This window comes from Homo sapiens, chromosome 15 (assembly GCF_000001405.40).
Source record: "Homo sapiens chromosome 15, GRCh38.p14 Primary Assembly".
NCBI classification, from domain to species: Eukaryota; Metazoa; Chordata; class Mammalia; order Primates; family Hominidae; genus Homo; species Homo sapiens.
This window is the reverse complement of record NC_000015.10, coordinates 91,416,132-91,439,854: the sequence shown is the minus strand read 5'-3', so window position 1 is coordinate 91,439,854 and position 23,723 is coordinate 91,416,132. Positions and strand designations below refer to the sequence as shown.

At 40.6% G+C, this 23,723-nt stretch overlaps 1 long non-coding RNA gene across 1 annotated transcript in view; it reads left to right on the top strand.

Annotated features, from left to right (window-relative positions):
* The window catches only part of LOC107984778 (uncharacterized), a 66,533-nt gene that overhangs the window by 29,851 nt on the left and 12,959 nt on the right, over positions 1-23,723 (top strand). The window contains exon 3 of the long non-coding RNA XR_007064763.1: positions 16,355-16,466. This is a non-coding gene — a long non-coding RNA (uncharacterized LOC107984778). The remainder of the gene's footprint in view (positions 1-16,354; positions 16,467-23,723) is intronic.

Genomic DNA, 23,723 nt, shown 5'->3' with positions numbered 1-23,723 from the left:
GGAGTCCTCAACCCTCAGGCTATGGACTGGTACTGGCTCGTGGCCTATTAGGAACTGGGCCACACAGCAGAAGGAGAGTGGCAGGAAAGTGAATGACGTTTCATCTGTATTTATGGCCACTCACCATCACTATTCCTTGCATTACTGCCTGAGCTCCACCTCCTGTCAGATCAGTGGTGGTATTAGATTTTCATAGGTGCCCAAACCCTATCATGAGTGTGCATGGGAGGGATCTAGGTTGCATGCTCCTTATGAGAATCTAATGCCTGATGATCTGTCACTGCCTCCCATCACCCCCAGATCAGACTGTCTAGTTGCAGGAAAACAAGCTCAGGGCTTCTACTGATTCTACATTATGGTGAGTTATATAATTATTTCATTATATAGTACAATGAAATAATAATAGAAATAAAGTACACAATAAATGTAATGTGCTTGAATCATCCTGAAACCTTCTCCTACCCTGACCCTGATCTGTGAAAAAATTGTCTTACACAAAACAGTCCCTGGTGCCAAACAGATTGGCCACCACTGCTCTGGAAGACAAGCTTATTTAGTAAAGGTTTTATTTTAGATATTATACTTTTCAGTTCTAGAAACTAAATGGGTTCTTTTCTATGTGCTAGCCTTTCTGCTGAAATTCCCCATCTGTTCAGTTATTATGATAGTCTTATCTTTTAAGTACTTAAATATTTTTATAACTTAAGAATCTTTGGCTGGGCATGGTGGCTCATGCCTCTAATCCCAGCACTTGGGAGGCCAAGGCAGGTGGATCACCTGAGGTTGGGAGTTCAAGACCAGCCTGACCAACATGGTGAAACCCCGTCTCTACTAAAAATGCAAAATTAGCTGGGCGTGTTGGTGCATGCCTGTAATCCCAGCTACTCAGGATGCTGAGGCAGAAGAATCGCTTGAACCCGGGAGGCAGAGGTTGCGGTGAGCCAAGCTCATGCCATTGCACTCCAGCCTGGGCAACAAGAGAGCAACTCCATTCCAAAAAAAAAAAAAAGAAAAATAATTTTTTTTTAACTAATTCTAATGTATTGATCATCTTAATTTCTGTTCCTATTGACTGCTTTGTCTTTTGATTATGGGTTATAGTTTTCAGCTTTTTTTTTTTTTTTGCATATGTAGTTTTTCTAATTATTTTTGTTGTATATTGGTTATTGTGGAAAATATGTTTATCTAGCCATCAGTTTACTGGATGAAAAGTTTGAACTTCTGGAGGCTTGGTATTATATTTTGCTACGGTGCTTCTCTTTGGAATTTTTTCTTGTAATAGAAAGAATCTTTAGTCCTGATAAATAGCATTTACCTATTTTTTCTTTTTCTTTTCTTTTTTTTTGAGATAGACTCTTGCTCTGTAGACCAGGCTGGAGTGCAATGGTATGATCTCAGCTCACTGCAACCTCTGCCTCCAGAGTTCAAGCAATTCTCCTGCCTGAACCTCCCAAGTAGCTGGGATTAGAAGCGTTTGCCACCACGCTCGGCTAATTTTTGGATTTTTAGTACAGACAAGATTTCACCATACTGGCCAGACTGATCTCGAACTCCTGACCTCAAGTGATCCACCTGCTTTGGCCTCTCAGAGGGCTGGGATTACAGGCGTGAGCCACCGCACCTGGCCAGCATTCACTATTCTTTTTGTTTTGTTTTGTTTTGAGGTGGACTCTCCCTCTGTCACCCAGGCTGGAGTGCAGTGGCACCATCTCTACTCACTGCAACCTCCACCTCCTGGGTTCAAGTGATTCTCCTGTCTCAACCACCCGAGTAGTTGGGATTACAGGCATGTGCCACAAGGCCTGACTAATTTTCATATTTTTAGTAGAGATGAGGTTTCACCATGTTGGCCAGGCTGGTCTCAAACTCCTGACCTCAAGTGATCCACCCACCTCAGACTCCCAAAGTGCTAGGATTACAGGTGTGAGCCACTATGCCCGGCCAGCAAGCACTCTAAAGGTATTCCCTCCTAAGGTTTCAATGGAAGGCCTAAGGTGTTTACGAAGCCTCTTTACTTGGATAGATTCAAACTTCAAACTGTCTCCCCTGCAATGAGTTGCAGTGTTCTGCTTTTTCACACTTCTAGCTTTTGCTTTCTTTTCTGCTATTTGAAGCCTCTCCCATACATGTATAGTCACAGATTTGAAGGAAGCTCATATACATATTTAAAGACTCTCCCATCCATAGGTTTTTCTTTTTCAGGACTTTCTCCTCTTCATTTTATAGCTGTTCTGGCATCCCTAAATTCTATTCTCTGAAACATCGAGCCAATAATACCGCCACTTTCTTCTTGAATTCTCTCTGTCCCATGTCATGGGGACTGGTGAATACCTTTATGAACAAAGCTGCATCAATGGAGACTTCACCTAGTTTTGTTCCCTTTTCCAAGCATCTAATCAAGCTTATGCCTCTTTTTGGATACTCTACGGTGTCTTCAAATAGTTGGGGTTTTCTTTTTTATATTTTATCCAGAGTTTATCATAGATTTTTGGGAAAGGGAATTTTCCTAGACAAGCTACTCTGCCATTACTGAAACTGAAATTCCTCCAATATTCTTTTAATAAAATATTTTCTACTTAAATCATCTGGGGTTGGTTTAGTTAGCAATTTTGCAACTAAAATCTGTGGCCAGATCTAGTACTGATGCAAGCCTTAAGACTGATGTTTAAGGTTGATGTAAAAGTTATATATTTATAAACAAGTGTTTATTTATTTGAAATCTAATTCCAATAAGTATTATCTTTTGGAATCACTGTTTAGCTATAGCTTTTAAATTTTTTTTGTTTTTTTCTTTTTTTGAGATGGAGTCACACTCTGTCACCAGGCTGGAGTGCAGTGGTGTGATCTCGACTCACTGCAACCTCCGCCTCCCAGGTTCAAGTGATTCTCCTGCCTCAGCCTCCTGTGGGATTACAGGCGTGCACCACCACAACTGGCTAATTTTTGTATTTTTAGTAGAGACAGAGTTTCACCATGTTGGCCAGGCTGGTCTTGATCTCCCAACCTCAGGTGATCCACCTACCTTGGCCTCCCAAAGTGCTGGGATTACAGGCATGAGTCACCGTGCCCTGCCACTTATTTTAAATATTTATGAAAATGCATAAATAAATGTACTTTCATGGCAACTTATCCTTTTCTGTGTGTGTTCCAGAATTGTCAAACTGACTTTAAAATAATGACAGAAACACTACTCTTCTGATGAGGTTTACATCAATTAGGACTCTTGGTTACAAGTGATCGAAAAATCAGCTTAGACTCACACTGACAAAAAAAAAAATCTCTTGGCTCTCGGGATTCATGGTACAATTGAAGAATTAAATTATGGTCAGCAGAGATGAATTTGAGCCTCAAAACAATTGAAGCCAGGTCAGTCAAGAGTCCAAGGACTCTGCCACGTTGGTCCACCTACTTCTTTCCAGCCATTGCCATTATTCACTCACCACCTGAGGAAACTTGGCTACCAGTAGCTGCTGATTGAGGAGAGACAGATTCTCTTTCTTTGACACAATACAAAAATTCTGTAGATAGACTCTGATTAGCTCATTTGGGTTATCCCTGCATCAGTCACTAAAGAACAAAAAGGACAAGGTTGAGAAAAACCATCTCAAACAGATGTAAAAAGGAGATCAGGAGGCCTTCCCAAGAGAGGGAGGAGGCAAGATAAATCCCTTAAATTTCCCCTTCAGGGTTCATTTCTAAAGGTTTACTAAATGCAGGAGGAAAGAATTTGAGGTTTAGAATACATACTTAGAAAATTAGATAAGTTTTCTATCAAAAAAAAACACAATACTTTTTGAGTGCTTATTATGTGCCCCACACTGTATCATCTATGCCTAAATATTCATTTGTTATGTGAAACCTGCCTGGGTAAAGCTGAAGTAGCATAAGGAGCATGGGCTATGGCTACAACTGAACCAGGTTCCAGTCAGCTGAGCAGGGCAGGCACAATTATTAATGATCTGACTTTGAGCAAGCTCGACAATCTCTATCCCTACATGCTTTTTACTTCTGTGTACCAAAAATGACTTTGTAGGGTTTCTGTGGAGACTGAAGAAAATGAGATAAATAAAACAGCAGAGATACATAATAATGTTAGCTGTTTAAAGTCATTGAGAGTCAGAGCCTGTTTACTTATACAATATCAACAATTTCACTTTCTTTCTGAACTTCAGAAAATAAAATCCATTATTTGACTTATTTGTACTCTGGAGGGAATAACATAGAATGAGAACAAAAAAAAATGTCAATCTCCTTCTGGCTTTTTTTGCAATTACAAAACAAGGACAAATGCAGATTCCAATAAACACTCATGGAAGGTCTTTGGTAGCAATTTAATTACATTATGTATTAAGCATTTAATAGTGGGACTTCACATAATTCTCATTCTGCTCCCCTTTCTCGTCTTCTGCTTTTCCTCCTACTACTTCCTTTCCTTCCTCTGCTACTCATCCCACCTAAAAGTCATCTGAAGGCAAATTAGACTTGGGTTATTCACCAGAATGGCTTGGGAAGGTTGCCATAGATATCTCTTCCCCAGACCTTTAAACAAGTTGATTACATTACATTACATCATTTACCCCAAGTTTAAGAGAAAAACTGAATTTATCTTGCTAAGTAGAAAATGTGTTTTTACTATTTTCAAAGAAAGTGAGTTGAAAAAAAAAGATAATATAAAAGCGCAGAGACAAATTGTCCTGCCTGGAATGAACATTCAAGCTGTATTAAAAATGGAACCAGCATTTTTATATTGGGACATATTATTTTTCTAGGACATATATAGTGTGAACAGTAGAGTGGAGGGCCAATGAATGAGGCTGTTCATTCAATCAAGGCCCATTGATCTTTAAATGATGAGATTTAGGAATCATAAATCTCACCAAGAAAATCAGGCCACCTCCCAAAATTGTGATTAGTATTATTAACGTATTCATTGCTCTTACTCATCTCCTTGTCTACTTTCTAATGTGGCACCCTTCACCAGCTGGTTTCTAACTGCATCTCCAGGCTTGCCTTAAACTGTGTCATTTAGACTCCCTACGCTTCACCAAACATCCTCTCCAGGGCCTTCCCTGATTCCTCCAGGTATTCCTGAATTGGCTAGGTTCTGCATCTTGCCAAAGCCCTTCATAACTGCACTGAACATGTGCATTATAATGATATGTTTATCTGCCTATCTACAGCTAGGCAAGGAGAAACTTGAGAGCAAAGCCTTTCATGTAATTGTTTTCTAAAGACAGTTGTATCATGATGTAATTAACACATAAAAACCTGCACATATTTCAAGTGCACAATCTGGTAAATTTTGACACACCCATATGCACACACACACACACACACATACACAAAACTATCACTAAAGTTAATATAATAAACAAATCCAGTACCCACAAAAGTTTCCTCATGCTCCTTTGTCATTCCTCCCCCAACCCCCACCTATTCCTACGGCCCCCAACCCCCAAACAACCACCAATCTGCTATCACTATGTTGCATTATCTAGAATTTTATGTGAAGGGAATCATACAATATGTATGCTTTTTGTCTGCCACTTTTTACTCACTCAGCAGAATAATTTTGGGATTCATCCATGCTGCTATATGTGTCAGTGGTTTATTCCCTTTGTAATGCTGAACAGTGTTCCACTGTAAGGACACACCACAGTTTGCTTGTCTATTCACTGTTGATGCCATTGGGGTTGTTTCCAGTTTGTGGCTATCAAAAAATAAGCTGCTGTGAACATTTCTGTGTAAGCATTTGTATGGACATACACTTTGATTTCTCTTGGGTAAATACCTATTCTTTTACTATTTACAATAGTAAATTTACAAAATTATTTTGTAACATATTGTATATTGTGTAATAAATATTGTATAAGAAATATATTATTTAAAAAATATATTTACTACTTACAATAGTATACTTACAATATACTATTCATATAGTAGCTACATGTTTAACTTTTTAAAAAAACTTTAAAATTGTTTTCCACACTGTACATTTCCACCAAGAGTATATGAGAGTTCCATTTGCTCCTCATCCTCATAACACTTGTTAGAGTCCATTCTTTCAGATACCTATTAGACATCCTGATGGGTATGCGGTGCTATCTTATTATTGTTTTAATTAACATTTCTGTAATAATTAAGGATGTTAAGCGTTCTTGTGCATATCTTTTGATGAGCATGTGTAAGTATTTCTGTTGGAATTGCTTGGCCAGGAAGGATGTACTAGGTCAGCCTTAGAAGATATTATGAAACAGTTTTTTATTTTTATTTATTTTTATTTTTTTATTTTTTTGAGATGGAGTCTTGCTCTTTCACCCAGGCTGGAGCACAGTGGCGATCTTGGCTCACTGCAACCGCATTCTCCTGCCTCAGCCTCCTGAGTAGCTGGGACTACCGGTGCCCGCCACCATGCCCGGCTAATTTTTTTTTTTTTTTTTTGTATTTTTATTAGAGACAGGGTTTCACCGTGTTAGCCAGGATGGTCTTGATCTCCTGACCTTGTGATCCACCTGCCTCGGCCTGCTCGTACCATATTAAACTCCCACTAGCAGTGTATGACAGTCCAAGTTGTTCTTCATCAACACTTGGAATTACATGCTTATTTAGCCATTCTGGTACGTATTGCATGATTCCATTCATATAAAATTCTAGAAAATGCAAGCTACAGGAGTGTCTTGCTGAGGTTTTAATTTGCATTTCCTTGAAAATGAAAATAAGCTATTTTTCAAATGCTTATTTGTCACTTAGCTATACATTCCTGAAATGCCTGTTCAAGTCTATTGCTCATGTTTTTATTAGGTTGTCTGTCTTCTTATTTTCATTTGCAGGAGCTCTTAATATGTGAGATTTAATTCTTAGGTCAGATATTTGAATTGCAAATATCTTCCCCATTCTGAATGGCTTCTTCATCCTCCTAATAGTGCCTTTTGATGAACAGAAATATCTAATCTTGTTATAGCTAAGTTTCTCAAGTTTTTTTTTTCATGGTTAGTGCTTTTTGAGTTCTGTTCAAGAAACTTACTCCCAGTTTATTAGGATTTTTTTCCTTCCACAATATTTATTGTTTATCATTCGCATTCAGATCTGCAACTCATCTGGAGCTGATTTGCTGCGCTTCCTGTTATTTGTCATATTCCGTGTTACTAAAAACCAGTATTTCTGATTTTTTCCTTTTGTGTCAAGCCCTACTATGGCTCAATATGATTACTGATCCCGTCTTTATTCAAAATTTTGCTATTTTGTTCAGAGTGCATTTTTGCATTAATTTTGATTTTTAACACATTGCGTCAAAATTATTTATCTTGATTGCTGCATTTATGTAGCCACATATACTTGGTGGCCAAGGCAGGTCCCTCACTCATTTCACTCTAGTACCTGCCATACCTTAATACCTGAACTGAAGCACCCGGATCTTCCTGCAATCAGGCCACTATCCACTTGCTTCAGAATAGCTATATGGATTGCTTCTAGAAGCCTCAGGCTCTCACAAGACTAGAGATCTTATTCTTTCCCTAAGTCAATAGAAATACTCTGGTAGCCTGAACTTGTTCACCATAATAATAATGAACTGCCTTGCAAAGATTCTGTGTACTCCCCACCCACCTTCTCCAGGGAAGAAACACTATCTGGCATCCCTAAGTGACTTAACTTTTGAAGGCCCATCCGGAGGGTTTTCTAGTCCCTTTCTCTGAAAAGCAGAAAAATAAATAAATAAAAGAATATATTAACTATTCAGTGAGTCATCCTACCGTGAACAGCATTGGATTGGACTAAATACCGCTGAGTGAGGCTGGGCGCAGTGGCTCACGTCTATAATCCCAGCACTTTGGGAGGCCGAGGTGGGTGGATCACCTGAGGTCAGGAGTTCAAGACCAGCCGGCCAATATGGTGAAACCCCATCTCTACTAAAAATACAAAAATTAGCCAGGTGTGGTGGCAGGTGCCTGTAATCCCAGCTACTCAAGAGGCTGAGGCAGGAGAATCGCATGAACCAGGGAGGCGGAGGTTTCAGTGAGCCGAGATTGCACCACTGCACTCCAGCCTGGGCAACAGAGTAAGACTCCAACTCAAAAAACAAACAAACAAAAAATACCTCTGAGTGTCCAGGTCTTGTCTGTGTAGTGGCAGCATCAAGGAACGCTCACAACTAAGGCAGTGACAAAAATGAAGACTGGAGCAGCCACTCTCAGAGAAGGGCCTTCACTACTCAAGTCTACTGACAGTCCGCACTACAATCAGTATCACTTATCTAAAAGAAGAAATTCAGAAGGCAAAGCAAGCCTAACATACGTCACCCTCGGAACATACAGCAGATTAAATTCTTCCACTGTTGCAGCCTAGGAATTTAATTTGTGCCTGGAGCTAAGGCGCTGAAAGACAAGTAAATATTTAAGTTGAGATGGACCTGCCTTCCTAACACAAAATCATACACTGAGAAAAAGAGGAAGATATAATACACATTTAATTTCTTACCTACCCTCTAGCATTTGGTCTATTTAGCTCTCCACCTCAGCATCACAATCAGCTTAATATGTACCTACTCATCGATTTGAATGTTGACCTGGGGCTATGGGATTTGCAGATAGGAAGACAGCGTTTTGGTCACTCATTAGGTAATGCTAAGCATTGTTTCTGCTGTGGCTTTTTCTTGCAGCAATTTCATTTCATTTCTGTCAGTACACCCTGATTAAACACAAATTCTCCCACGGCATGCCAGGTAATGGCCAGTACACAAAAGTAGCCAATAGCTCCAGGTCAGTCCTTGCTTTCACTGGACCAGTTGCCCTTCCTCTCAAATCATGGATTCCAATCCTCTGATTCTGATGCTTGTCCACTGAGTTTCAAAGACCACACTTTCTTTTGCTTTTCAACAAAGACTGAATTTCCATTCCAGCTCTACCACTATTCGATTGAGTGCCCTTAGGAAAATCACTTTACTACCATCTATGCCAGCGGTTCTCAACACAGGGTGCTTATTAAGATACTGTTGCCTGAGCCTCAGCCCCAGCCTCAGAAGTTCCAGTTCGATTAGCCCACGGTTAGGATATCATCCCTAGGTGATTATAATGGGCAGTCAGTGTTAAGAACCACAAAACCTGCAGTTCCTAATCACCTGAGAGGTGGTTAAAACGCACATTTCTAGCTCACCCCCCTCTCCCACTCCCTGAGTCTGATTTAGGATACTCAATTAGAGACCAAGCATTTTCCATTTTAATGAAGCTGAAACTGGTGGTCCAGGTAACAGTCTTTGAGAAATATTGATTTTATAAAAGAGGCGGCTATATGATATGATCTCTCGGGTCCATCTCATGGCTAATGTTTGATCATTGGAGTTGCTGCCCTTCAGAAGAAGTGGATAATCCCAATGCTTTGTGCCTGTTTAGTCTTAAGAAAGGTAGGTTTTCTTTATCTTAAAATAAAGGACTTGTCTGTTTTTTTGCTGACTACCTTCTGTAAGGTTCTTATATTGGTTCGAACCTCGAGAGCGCGCCAACAGACAACACGGTGTGGAGCAACATGGTGTTTTAATGAGAGCCTGGGTACAGGGAGGCTGAGGCCTAAAATGGCATCAGCCCCAAGTGAGGACAGGGCAAAGGTTTTATAGTCTCATGTAAACAGGAAGTGTCCTAGTCTGATGTAATTGTATCCGGATGGCCTCTTTCTAAACCTTCAGGGGTACGTGTCTTCCGGCCAGAGTAGGTATCCTCCGGCCGGCTCTCTTCCTGCTTCTATCTTGCTGTCAGCACACTGCTGGAGCAAGCAGCCTTGTGCCTTGGGACTGGGCCTGAGAAGGGAGGAGTTATTCATCTCCCTAAGCTTTCAGGCCCCAGGGAGAATCTTACACCTTCCTCTCCCCAAAAATGGAAGCACTTGATCTATGTGGATGAACTCAACCTCTCCTCCTGTTGCCACACCCTCTTCCACTCTATAGAGATTTTGGAACCAGTACTATGGGCAATAGGATTTAAGAAGCACTGAACACCATGGGACTCAGCACCAAGCTGCTTCTTTGTTCACCCCCATCTTGGACTAACATTGCTGCTCCAGTTACTGGACTTTCACCCTGACCACTCAAGATCAAGCCCTCCCACCTGGGACCTTAATTCTGTCATTGGACCCTGACATTGCTGCCTATGCCTGGTTTATTTGAATCATTGTCTTTAAAACGGCTGAGATCCAGGCCATCTTGCCACCTTCCACAGTAGTGTGTCGTGCCATCTAGAGACTCCTTCTCCCAGATTTGACCCGGTGCTTCATATCCCTGATTTCCACCACATGCTTGTTTCCCTTGCTAGGGCCTCTCTGATACTAAATGAGTGCCTAGATTACCTCCTATTATGGTCATCCTTGTTGACTCCTGGGTCCACATATTGCCCAGTAAATCTGACTTCTTTCTGCCACCCACTCACTGCTGGTGTTTGTTCCAGGTCCCCATGGCTCCCAATTCACCATATTGCTAGACTTCTATGAACCCTTGCTACCTACCTAGAACTGTGCTAAGAAAATTGCATTTGCTATCTCATTTATCCTCATAAAACCCAAATAAGCTACATATTAATTTAATCCTCATTTTACAAATGAGGAAACTGGGAGTGCTTAAAGTTGTTAAGATTACACAGGCTGAAAACTAAACTCTCAGTACACTGCAAACATAACGCGACAAAAACAAGCACACAGGCGCCTTCCATCTGCTGAAACCAAGCCTGGCTTTGTGATATTGTGAAGTTAGGAGTTCACTTTCAGAATCCTGGCTTTTTAGAATCTTTCTCCCCACCACATAGATACCTGAAAGCACGTGCCTTTAAGATCTGGCTTCATCACAACCCACCTCACCAACACCTGCTTGGAGAAAGGACTCAGCATCATTTAATAATTTTCAATATATTGAAGTAAATAGGTTTGTTTCTCTCCAAAGAATATTCACTCCAAGCCTAAAATCATAATGCAAACAAATGCATATTTCTTCTTTAAAGAATTTTATACATCAGCAATTAGATATCCTGCAAGACAGCAGGAAACCTTCAGATCTTATTATGTAGGTGGCCAGCCCAATATGTGTGGTGAGATCTTGGCAAAGCCCAGGCAGGACAGAGATTACAGAAAAACAGTTCAGGGAGATTGGTTTGGTACTCAACAATTTTAATGATTTTATATAGTTACCTATTGCTACCAAAACAAATGACCACAAACACTAAAGTCAAGATCTCAGCAGGGCTGATTCCTATAGGCTCTGGGGGAGAACCATCCCTTTGCATTTCCCAGATTCTAGAGGCTGCCCACATTCCTTCACTCATGGCTGCATCACTCCAACCTCTGCTTCTAGCCTCACATCTCCTCTAACTCTCCTGCCTCCCTATTCCCCTATAAGGACACTGTGATTACAGTGGGTACACCCAGATAATCCAGGATAATCTCTCCATCTCAGGATCTTTAATTTAGCCACATCTGCAAAGTCATTTTTGCCATTTAAACTTGCATATTCACAAAGAATGTGAACATCTTGGTGGTGGTGGGGCATTATTTTGCCTACAACAGACTTAATGACTCAAATATAGGGGACAATCAAGGACAGAGGGAAATGGAAAGTATTAGGACGCTTTTATTAATTCATATGACAATGACCGAAAGTCAACTGAAATTGGCTTACTTAGGCCAGAAAGGAGAATTTGGGGTCACCCATAAGCAAGCCAACAAAAGGGAGGGGTGGGAACACAGCCTCCAGGATAACTGGATATGGGCCTCCAATACTAACAACTCCCTGTTTCTTGATTTTTGTCTTTTCTGCATCTTATTGCCAGCTGCTCCTCAATGCTGGACCATTAACAAAAGTAGATCTAAGTGTGCACCCTTCAGCTTCACGACCAGGGAAACACAGTGTCCTTCCTCTAGCTCCAGCAAGAAAAAATCTCAGCAAGTTCCCTCATTGGCCAGGATTGTATCCTATGCCCATCACTGAGCCAACCAACAAAGTTGATTGAACATTGGGATTGATCTACTCAGGCCATTTCATGCCCCACAAGCACTGTGATTTACAGCCCTCACCAGAACCACCATGTTAGACATAAGAAAGAGTTCCTCAAGTGAAAAAGGGACTTGGAAAGTGATAAATGCCCACTGAGAGGATGGCAAACTTTTGCAGCGTTAATTCCTCTCAAACTGAGAACTGAATAAAAACTAGCAAGAAAAATGAATTTTTAGTCTGGAAAACATTGTGAGACTCTGTCTCTACAAAAAAATATTAAACATTAGCCAGGCACAGTGGTATACGCCTGTGTAGTCCCAGCTACTCAGGAGGCTAAGGCGGGAGGATCACTTTACCCAGGGGTTTGAGGCTCCATCAAGCTATGATTATGCCACTGCACTCTAGCCTGGTGACAGTAAGACTTTGTCTCTAAAAAGAAAGAAAAAAATGAGTGAGCTGAGACTTCTGAGAATTTTTGCCACTGATAAAAGTTAAGTATGGCGCTACTGTCTTAGTTAAATCATTTGTATCCTGAGGAAACCAAAAAACTTACTGCACAATCTTTCCCACCAGGCTGTAACCTACATCCTGAGACTGTTTTCCTGATAGTTTCTCTACTCAGACTGAGAGGTAGCAAACAACCTAGTGGATTATTTAAATCAAAAATCTATCCCTTCTCTGGATCTACCACTTATAAAATGAGGGCATTGGATCGAATGAAGTTGGCAGCTCCTCTCTGCTCATAAAGAACATGGTGCTGTGATTTCCTAACTATCCAGATAGGCTCTCTTTTAGGTGCACGTTTTTAGGTCTTTCCGAGGGTGATGGTAGTGGTGTCAATCCCAGTTGAATTGCCTGATTTTTTCCCTTTTTTTTTTTTTCTTTCTGATACTCAGTCTCGCTCTGTCACCCAGGCTAGAGTGCAGTGGTGTGGCATGATCTTGGCTCACTGCAACCTCTGTCTCCCAGGTTCAAGCAATTCTCTGCCTCAGCCTCCTGAGTAGCTAGGATTATAGGCACCCGCCACCACACCCAGCTAATTTTTTTGTATTTTTAGTAGAGACGGGGTTTCCCCATCTTGGCCAGGCTGGTCTTGAACTCCTGACCTCATCATCCACCCACCTCAACCTCCCAAAGTGCTTGGATTACAGGCGTGAGCCACCATGCCCGGCCCTGACTTCTTTTTATGTGTCAGATGCCAGGAATTGCTGGTAGACTCTTCACCATCTAGCTGAGCAGGAAATGCTGTGGCCAGAGTGATTAAACCAAAGAGTATCTTGAAGGTGAATTCCCACTTTTCCTTTCCAGTTAAATAACTGAGGCGTGTCACTGTTTCGTCAATATTAGGCACACAGCTCCAATTAGACCTCTGAAGACATTCTCTCAAGTCAACAGTGTAAGCAGTCCTCACTGCTTCTCTTTTGAACTGGGTCTGTTTGGACTGCCATGTGACCCACAGCTTTGTAACAGCTCCTGGGTTATTTCCCATTCACATGAACTTTTCAAGTGAAAGAAAACTAAATTACCTCAATTTTTAACCCAGCCTTGCAAATTAGCCACTTGTCAGATGCCAACAATGGCATAGGCCAATGCAAAGTTAAGCCTTGTGAAAAGGAATTATTTTTTTCCCCTCTTTAGCTTTCCCTTGAGACAAAATAGCAGCTCAAACCTTTGGCACTATTAAATCCTAAAAGTCATCTGCCAGGAGGTTTGAGCTAGAAAGGAGAAGACACCTTTCTCCTAAACTGCTAAGGTAGTTCTGTATGGCTACCTTTTCACCTATTCATGTCCCGGTCCATCAGTTGGCAAGGACCACATTATGTCTTGCTTTGTGTCATTTTGTTTTCCAAGCCCACACCAAAGGGACGGGAAGGATATGTAAAAAGTAGGGTAGTAGTCACTTAAAAAAAAGATAGCATTTTTTTGCTTCTGCTTTTCTTCCATTTTGAAGAAACAAAACCTTCTCCCAAATAATTCAGGGGATCCTGAGGGGCATTTCTCATGGGCTCAGTCTCCACATACCCACCATGTTTCTCGAATCCTTATCTGCCTGTTTGGCCCTGCAGATGAGCTTTCATCTCCTGTATCTCTCTCTCTCTCTCTCTTTCATTTTTCTCTTTCTCTCCCTCTTCTCTCTCTCTTTAGTGTCTCTCTTTAGTCTCTCTCTCTCCTCTCTCCTCTCTCTGCAGCTTTAGGCTTGCTGTCTGGCTTCCTGATTAAGCCAATATGTCTCCCCTACATCAGCATGTGTTTCAATAGTGTTATTCCAGGTAAGTGTAACAATTATTTTTCCACCCCTACGAAGGTCTCTCTTTGCTGAAAAATGCCTCTGAAACTCTTACATAAATTCCAGTAAGCTCTGTTATTATTTACTTCATACAAGAGGAGGCACTGCATTGTACTCAAAATCACTCTTCCTCTCTGATTTGCCCAATTTTCCTACGAATAAACTTGTAATTCTTCCTTTGATGCAATTTATTTTCTAATACCTAATGTTCTACTTATCTGATCTTTAAGACATGCCCAGCTTCGTCTGAATCTCAGGGTGAACACAGCAAACATGGGCTGAGAAATCAATATTCCCAGTACATGATTAGTTCCCAAAGTTCTCAGAACTTGCTTTCTCATAAAGAAAAAAAAAATCCTACATATTGGCTTATAGTTGACATATATTCATCACCATTATATAAAGAATGCCTTCTATGGTTCACACACATACTGAGCAGCAAATGGAGACATAGTGTTGAAAAAGACAATAAACCATGCCTTCACTCAACAAACTATAGTTCATTAGAAGAGACAAAACAGACCTAGAAACCGTTAGTTGTAATAGTGTAACAAGTGCTACATAAATTTATGTTCTAAGTATAGTGGTAGCCCCAAGTCTGCAGATCAACTCTGCTTGTAAGTGGAGAATTGGGGGAGAATGTGGAGTTTCAACTGTAGTGCAAAGGACCATGGCTGGTCAGGAGGTGTGGGTGGGTAAGTGGTATAGACAAAAGCAAGAAGGCAAAGCTCAACAAAGCTTGCTCATGGACAGGTAAGTAGGTGTAGCTCAAGTACAGGGCATGAAAATTGTGGGGTCAGAGAAGATCAAGCCACAGGAGTAGACAGAAAGCATACTGTGGGGAGTCTTTTTTCTCATACTAAGGAGCTGAACTTCATCCTTTCTACAATGGAGAGCCACTGAAGGATTTTAAGAAGAGAGGAGTGGGTGTGGCAAGTGGGTGGAGGCTAGCTTCAGGAGATGGTTTTATGGAGCAAGAGTATGACAGACAAGTTGGGTTGGAACCAGATCACTAAGGTGGATGTGCAAGTACGGAAGAGTCCGAAAACATCTCCTTAGGTATTTGTGTTGATCTCTTCAGCTTGCTTGCCATCACTTTAGGGTTCACACTGTGCCTGTCTTTAAAGATCCTTTCCTTGGTTTTCTGTGATGACTATAACACTGAGCCTCAGAAAGAAGAGTTTTGCCAGAGGCCCTTATAATAATAAATGGCCAGTATGGTCCACTACCCTTTGCTTGCCTGGCACCAATATGGAAAGTCAGTGTTGAGACATGCTTGTATTGCACCAGTTCTCTTACACACCTTTGCTTTCATCATTATATTTTTCTCTCGCTGACCTCAGCCTAGACAAGGAAGGAAGAAAGTGAGCACCAGATGGTGTTTTTAAGTACATGGCTCCCAGTGCCCCAGGAAGGGTTCCAGCATCCTCTTTGAGCTTATTTGTAGGTCTCTGGGAGCCCATGCCCCAGGTCATTCACAGCTCTACCTTCCAGCCATTTAGATAGCAACTAAAATGCAGCCACTCTTACTGTGACAATCTTTCAACATGCAAAAAAAAAAAAAAAAAAAAATGTGATCCAGTTTCTACAAGATACTGAAGAATCAGAGCTTAAAAAGTGATCCGATATATAGAATGACACCCAAGCTTATCAAACTTCTGGGATTCTAGTTGCTTTACTTGTGAAATATAAAATCTCAGAGTTGGATTTCTATCTTAAACATCATCTAGTCTACTGGTTCTAAAACATGGCTGTGATTTTTAATCACTGTAGAAAAAATTTATAGAATTTTTTTTGTCTCTACCTTCAGTTATTTTGACTTGGCCAGTCTTGGAATGGGGCCCAAATATTTGTGTTTCTGACAGCTAAATAACTGATTTTTATATGCAGTCATGTTTGGGAACTTCTGGTTACCCGTGTTTGAATTCCACCTCAAATATCCCTTCCAATTCATTGATCAGCATCTGCTAAAAGCCTTCCTGCAACAAGAACCTCACTTGCACCCTCCATGATCCACTTCCTATTTAATGGTCCAGCTTGGCCCATTCTGAAGTACTATTTCATGTAACCAGAAAATGAAAGGGCCCCCTTTCTGTCCTCAGGAAGAGAGGAGGTTATCAGGGGAATCAAAGAAATCTGGCCTGCAGTCCCCGGTGCCAGGGAAGACATCTAATGATCTGTGGTCTTCTCCACATGGTTGACTCCAAGGGGAAGGTGAGTGCTCCCTCTACCACCTGCCATGCCTCCCCAGAACAGCATCAGGTGGCCTGATGTTCCTATCTGGAACTGCTTCATTCGTGAATAATTCCACAACTCTCTTTGCTAGAAAAAAAAAAAACAGATATGGAAGAGAAATGTAAGCAGTTCTTTTACTGATGATGCAGACAAGCACCAAAGCAATACAGACAGGAGGTTGTGACTTAGTCTGAATTGTTCATGCCTTTCAGAGGAAATGGTAAATTGCTTACAGTTGGGGCTTGCTTTGGTTGTGCATGTAAATGTTCTCTAGCTCTTCATCTTCTCTCTTCTCAGTGATCCTCTTGCTAGTCCCTCTTATTGTCTTCCTCCTGCAGCCACACCTCAAACCTCCCTCCTGGGGTGTTACCACCCCCTTCCTGTGTGAAACTGCCACAATCTCTACCTCATAAAAAAATCCTAGCCTCCTCTGACTCCTCGGGTTTTCTCCATATGCTAATGGAGGCTTCCCTCTGTTCAGGCTTTGCAAGTTCAGAAGGGAGCAAGAAAGGCTTGGGACCTGAGAATGGGAGAAAAAGGGAGGGGTACTCCCTGTTGCATCTCATTACCTGCTTTCAGTAAGAGTTGTAGCCAGTGTACAACCGAATTTCTTAAGGGCATGCAACCTCACCTTAGCAACTGTTCATTTTCTTCCTAAAACAACATGGTCTAGTTGCATAAGTCTTCCATTAACACAACTTTGACTAAATCTATTATGAAATATAAGATTATGGACATTATTGAACCAAGGAGCATTTTAGCACCTTTCTTACACCTTATGTCTGCTTATGAGAACCATCACATTGACGGAGTGTTGAGTGCATAAGTGGCACCATTCCCAAAGATTTTTTTTTCTGATTCCCAAATTGTTCTCCTGATAGAAAGTAGTGGTAGATCAGTTCACTCCCACCTATGTTAACGTGAAATTTCTCTTCCAGTGTTGTCTGCCCTTTGTTTAATCAGGAGAACAATAAAGCACCATCCATCATAGAGATACAAACAATTTATCAAAGCCATGTTCTTTTGAGGAGATAGCGTAACAAAGGAGAGCTTCTATACCTTCCTTTGGCACAATCACCACTCTCAGAGACAAAATACAAAACTGAATAGACAACTATTTTCAGTTCAGGAATTTTTCACACTCTCCTCTAAATGGCATTAGGGGAGACAGGGAGCAAGATGGATGAATAGAAGCCTCTACTGATTGTCATTCCCACAGGAACACCAAATTGAACAAAAATCAAAATGAAAACAAACAAAAAGACACCTTCATAAGAACCTAAAATCAGGTGAGCTATCATAGTACTTGGTTGTAACATCATATTAAGGAAAAGGCACTGAAGAGAATAGATAAGATTTTTTTTGTTTTTGTTTTTATTTTTTTTGAGAGGGAGCCTCGCTCTGTCGCCAGGCTGGAGTGTAGTGGCACAATCTTGGTTCAATGCAACCTCCACTTCCCGGGTTCAAGCGATTCTCCTACCTTAGCCTCCCGAGTAGCTGGGACTACAGGCACGGACCACCATGCCCAGCTAATTTTTGTATTTTTAGTCGAGACAGGGTTTCACCATGTTGGCCAGGATGGTCTCGATCTCTCGACCTCATGATCTGCCCGCCTCAGCCACCCAAAGTGCTGGATTATAGGCGTGAGCCACCGCGGCAGGCGGATAAGATGGTCTTGGATTGCCAATGCCACCCCTCCTCCATCCCTCAGCAGCAGCTGTATGGTGTGGAGAGAGAATTTGTGCACTCCAGGGGGTGTGGTGGGGGGGGGGGTGGTTGGAGGAGGGAGAGCACAGTGATTGTGAAACTTTGCATTGGAACTCAGTGTGCCCTGTCACAGCAGAAAGCAGCATGGGGCAAAACTCAGCTGATGCTCATAGAGGGAACATTTAAACCAGCCTTAATGAAAGGAGAATCACCCATCCCAGCAGTCAGAACCTGCGTTCTGGCAAGCCTTGACACCACAGGCTAAAGCGATCTGGGGTCCTAAATAAACTTGAAAGGCAGCCTAGGCCACAGGGTCTGCAGTTTCCATCCTGATGCTGTGTAGGGCTTGGAGCCAGTGGACTTGGCGTGCATGTGACCCAGTAAGACACCAGCCAGGGTGGCCAAGGGAGTGCTTGCACCACCACTTACTCAACTGCAGGCAGTGCAGCTCACAGCTCTGAGAGAGACTCCTTCCTTCCACTTGTGAAGAAGAGAGAAGGGTAAAAAGGACTGTGTCTTACAACTTGGATACCAGCTCAGCCACAGTAGAATAGGGCACCGGGCAAAGTCCTGAGGCCGCCATTCCAGCCCCTGACTTCCAGACAGCACTTCTAGACACACCCTGGAACAGAATGGAACACATTTGAAGGGAAGGACCCAGTCCTGGCAGGATTCATCACCTGCTAACTAAAGAGCCCTTGGGCCCTGATCAGCAGTGGTATTTAGGCAGTATTTGCTGTAGGCCTTGGGTGAGACTCAAAGATATGCTAATTTCAGGTGTGACCCAAGACATTCCAAGCTGTGACCCCTTCTGCTTGACGAAAGGAGAGAGAGGAGTAAAGGGGGCTTTGTCTTGCAGTGTAGGTACCAGTTCAAATGCAGTGGAGTAGAGCACCAAGTGAGCCTTTGGGGTCCTGATTCCAGGTCTTTACCCTTGAATGACATTTTTGGACATGCCCTGGGCCAGAGGGGAGCCTGATGCCCTGAAAGGAGACTCACAGGCCTGGCAGCATTCACCACAAGCTGACTGAAAAGCCCTGGGTCCCTGAGTGAACATCAGTGGCCAAGGCAGTACTCACCATGGGCCTTAGGCAGTCATGACCATGGGGAGAGACTCCCTGCTTCTAGTAAGAAGGAAGAGTGAGAAGGACTTTGTCTTATGGTTTGGGTGGCAGCTCAGCCACAGTAGAATACAGCACAAGGTAGGTTCCTAAGGTTCCCAGCTCCAGGCCCTGGCTCCCATATGGCATCTCTAAACACACCCAGGACCAGGAAAAACTTGCCACCCTGAAGGGAAAGACACAGCCTGGCTGGCTTCACCATCTGCTAATTGTAGAGCCCTAGGGCCTTGAGCAAACATAGGGAGTTGTCAGGCAGTGGTTATCACAGGCCCTGGGTGAGACCCAGTGCTGTGCTGGCTTCAGATCTGACCAGACATGGTCCCATGTGTTGGCCACATGGGTGCTTTTGTTACCTATCCCCCAGCTCAAAACCGTTCAGGAGAGATAGAGATAGAGAGAGAGAGAGAGAGACAGAGACAGAGACAGAGAGACAGACAGACAGACAGACTCCATTTATTTGGGGAAAGGGAAGGGAAGGGAACAAGAGTCTCTGCCTGGTAATCCAACGAATTCACCCAGTTCCTACCCAAGGCAGTACCTCATGAGTCTGCAAGAGTCACAGTGTTACTGCATGGCTTGGTGTGCCCAACTGAAGCAGATATGGCTGCAGCAACCAAAGACTTAGATTGCAACACCCAATTACATTTGAATATCTGGAAAACCTTCCCAAGAAGGATAGGTCCAAACCAAAACTGCAAAGACTACAATAAATACCTAACTCTTTGATGCCCAGACATTGATGAACACTTAGAAGCATTAAGACAATCCAGAAAACATGACCTCACCTAACAAGCTAAGTAAAGCACCAGTGACCAATCCTGGAGAGACAGAGATATGTCATCTTTCAGACAAAGAATTCAAAATAGCTCTTTTGAGGAAACTCAGCAAAATCCAAGATAACACAGAGAATGAATTCAGAATCCTATCAGATAAATTGAACAAAGAGATAGAAGTAATTTTAAAGAATCAAGCAGAAACTCTGGAATTAAAAAAATACAATTGACATACTGAAGAACGCATGAGTCTCTTAACAGCAGACTAGATCAAGCAGAAAAAAGAATTAGTGAGTTGAAGACAGGCTATTTAAAAAAAAAACACAGTCAGAGGAGACAAAAAAAGAATTAAAAAGAATGAAGCACTCCTACAAGAACTGGAAAATAACCTCAAAAGGGCAAATATAATAGTTATTGGCCTCAAAGAGGAGAAAGAGAGAGAGATGGGGGTAAATGTGTAATTACAAGAAGGTAATAGAACACTCAGCAGATTTAATCCAAGTAGGAATACCTCAAGACATTTAATAATCAAACTCCCAAAGGTCAAGGATAAAGAAACGACCCTAAAACAGATAGAAAAGAAACAAATAACATACAAAGGAGCTCCAATATGTCTGGCAGCAGACTTCTCAGTGGAAACCTTACAGACCAAGAGAGAGTGGCATGACATATTTAAAGTTCTGAAAGAAAAAACCTTTTATCCTAGAATAGTACATCCAACCAAAATATCCTTCAAGCTTGAAGGAGAAATAGACTTTCCCAGACAAACAAAAGCCGTGGGATTTCATCAACACCAGACCTATGCTACAAGAAATGCTAAAGGAAATCACTCAATCTGAAAGAAAAGGATGTTAATGAGCAATAAAAAATCATCCAAAGGTATGAAACTCACTGGTAATAGTAAGTCCACAGAAAAACACAGAACACTGTAATTGTGATGTGTAAACTACTCAAATATTACATGGAAAGACTAAAAGATGAACCAATCAAAAATAGTAACTACAACTTTTCAAGACAGAGACAGTCAAATAAAATATAAATAGAAACAACAAAAAGTTAAAAAGCAGAGTAGGCGACAAAGGACAAAGTTAGTGTATATTTTTTATTAGTTTCCTTATTCTTAGTTTCTTTTTTAATGCAATCAATGTCATCAGTTTAAAATGATGAGCTATGTTACTTGCAAGCCTCATAGTAACTTTGAATTAAAAAATATACAAAAGATACACAAAAATAAAAAAGCAAGAAATTAAAACATTTCACCTGAGAAAATCACCATCACTAAAAGGGAGATAGGAAGGAAGGAAAGAAAGAAGGACGAAGAGAAGACCACAAAACAAGTAGAAAAGAAACAACAAAATGGCAGGAGTAAGTCCTTACTTATCAATACTAACTGAATGTAAATGGACTAAATTTTCATTCTGCTGGAACTTGAGGGGAAAAAAGGAAAAAGAAATAAACATATAAATAAATGAACTAAACTCTTTAATTAAAAGACATAGAGTGGCTGAATGGATTTAAAAAAAAAAAAAAAAGAAAAAAAAAAAAAACACACAAGACCCAGCAGTCTGTTTTCTACAAGAAACCAAGAAACACACTTCACCTATAAGGACACACATAGCCTGAAAATAGAGGATAGAAAAAGACATTCCATGCAAATGGAAACCAAAAGGAGCACAAGCATCTATACTTACATTAGACAAAATAGATTTCAAGACAAAAACTGTAAGAAGAGACAAAGAAGGTCGTTATATAATAATGTGGTCAATTCAGCAAGAGGATATAATAATTGTAAATATATATGCACCCAACACTGGAGCACCATATATATAAAGCAAATATTACTAGAGCTAAAGAGAGATATATACCCCAAAACAATAACAGCTGGAGAGTTCAACAACTCATTTTCAGCACTGATTAGATCATCCAGACAGAAAATCAACAAAGAAACATCAAACTTAATCTACGCTATAGATCAAATGGACCTAACAGATATTTAGCAAACATTTTATCCAATGGCTACAGAATATAAACTCTTCTCCTCAGCATATAGATTATTCTCAAGGAGAGAAGATATGTTAGGCCACAAAATATGTTTTTTAAAAATAAAAAAATGAAATTATATCAAATGTCTTCTCTAACCACAGTGGAATAAAACTAGAAATCTGTAACAACAGGAATTTTGGAAATAATACAAACACATGGAAATTCATACGCTCCTAAATGAACACTGAGAACATGGAAATTAAGGACATTTAAAAATTTTCTTGAAACATGTCATAATAGAAACAAAACATACCAAATTCTATGGAGTACAGCACAAGCTGTATACTTTACTAAGAGGAAAGTTTATAGCTATAAGCACCTACATCAAAAAATTAGAAAATTTTCAAACAAAAAACCTAACTATGCATCTTAAAGAACTAGAAAAGCAAGAGCAAATCGAGCCCAAAATTAGTACAAGAAGAGAGATTATAAATACAAAGCAGAAATAAATGAAATTGAAATGAAAACAATACAAAAGATTAATGAAAAAAAGTTGATTTTTTGAAAGGAGAAACAAATTTGATAAACCTTTAACCATACTAAGAAAATAGAGAGAAGACCCAAATAAATACAATGAGAGATGAAAAAGGAGACATTACAATCAATATGACAAAAATTCAAAGGATCTTTAGAGGCTAGTATGAGCAATTACATGCCAATAAATTAGAGAACCTAGAAGAAATGAATAAATTCCTGGATACATATGACCTACCAAGATTGAACCATGAAGAAATCCAAAACCTGAACAGACCAGTAACAAGTAATGAAATCAAAGCCATAATAAAAATTATCTCAGCAAAGAGATCTCAGCAAAGCCCAGGACCTGAAGGCTTCATTGCTGAATTTTACCAAACATTTAAAAAAGAACTAATACCAACCCTACTCAAACTGTTCTGAAAAATAGAGGAGGAGAGAATACTTCTAAATTCATTTTATGAGGCCAGTATGACCCTGATAGCAAAACCAGACAAAGACACATCAAAAAAAGAAAACAACAGGCCAATATCCCAGTGAACATTGATGCAAAAATCCTGAATGAAATACTAGCGAATCAAATTCAAAAACACATTAGAAAGATCATTCATCATGACCAAGAAGGATTTATCCCCGGGATGCAAGAATATTTCAACATATGCAAATCAATCAATGTGATATAGCGTATCAATAGAATGAAGGATAAAAACCTTATGATCATTTCAATTGATGCTGAAAAAGCATTTGATAAAATTCAACATCACTTCATGATAAAAACTCACAAAAACTGCATACAGAAGGAACATACCTCAACACAATAAAAGTCAATATAACAGACCCACAGCCAGTATCATACTGAATGGGGAAAAACTGAATGCCTTTTCTTGAAGATGTGGAACAAGACAAGGATGCTCACTGTCACCGTTGTTATTCAACATAGTACTGGAAGTCCTGGATAGAGAAATTACACAAGAAAAAGAAATAAAAGGCATCCAAATCGGAAAGGAAGAAGTCAAATTATCCTTGTTTGCAGAAAATACAATCTTATATTTGGGAAAACCTAAAGACTCTATCAAATAACTATTAGAACTGACAAATTCAGTAAAGTTGTAGGACAC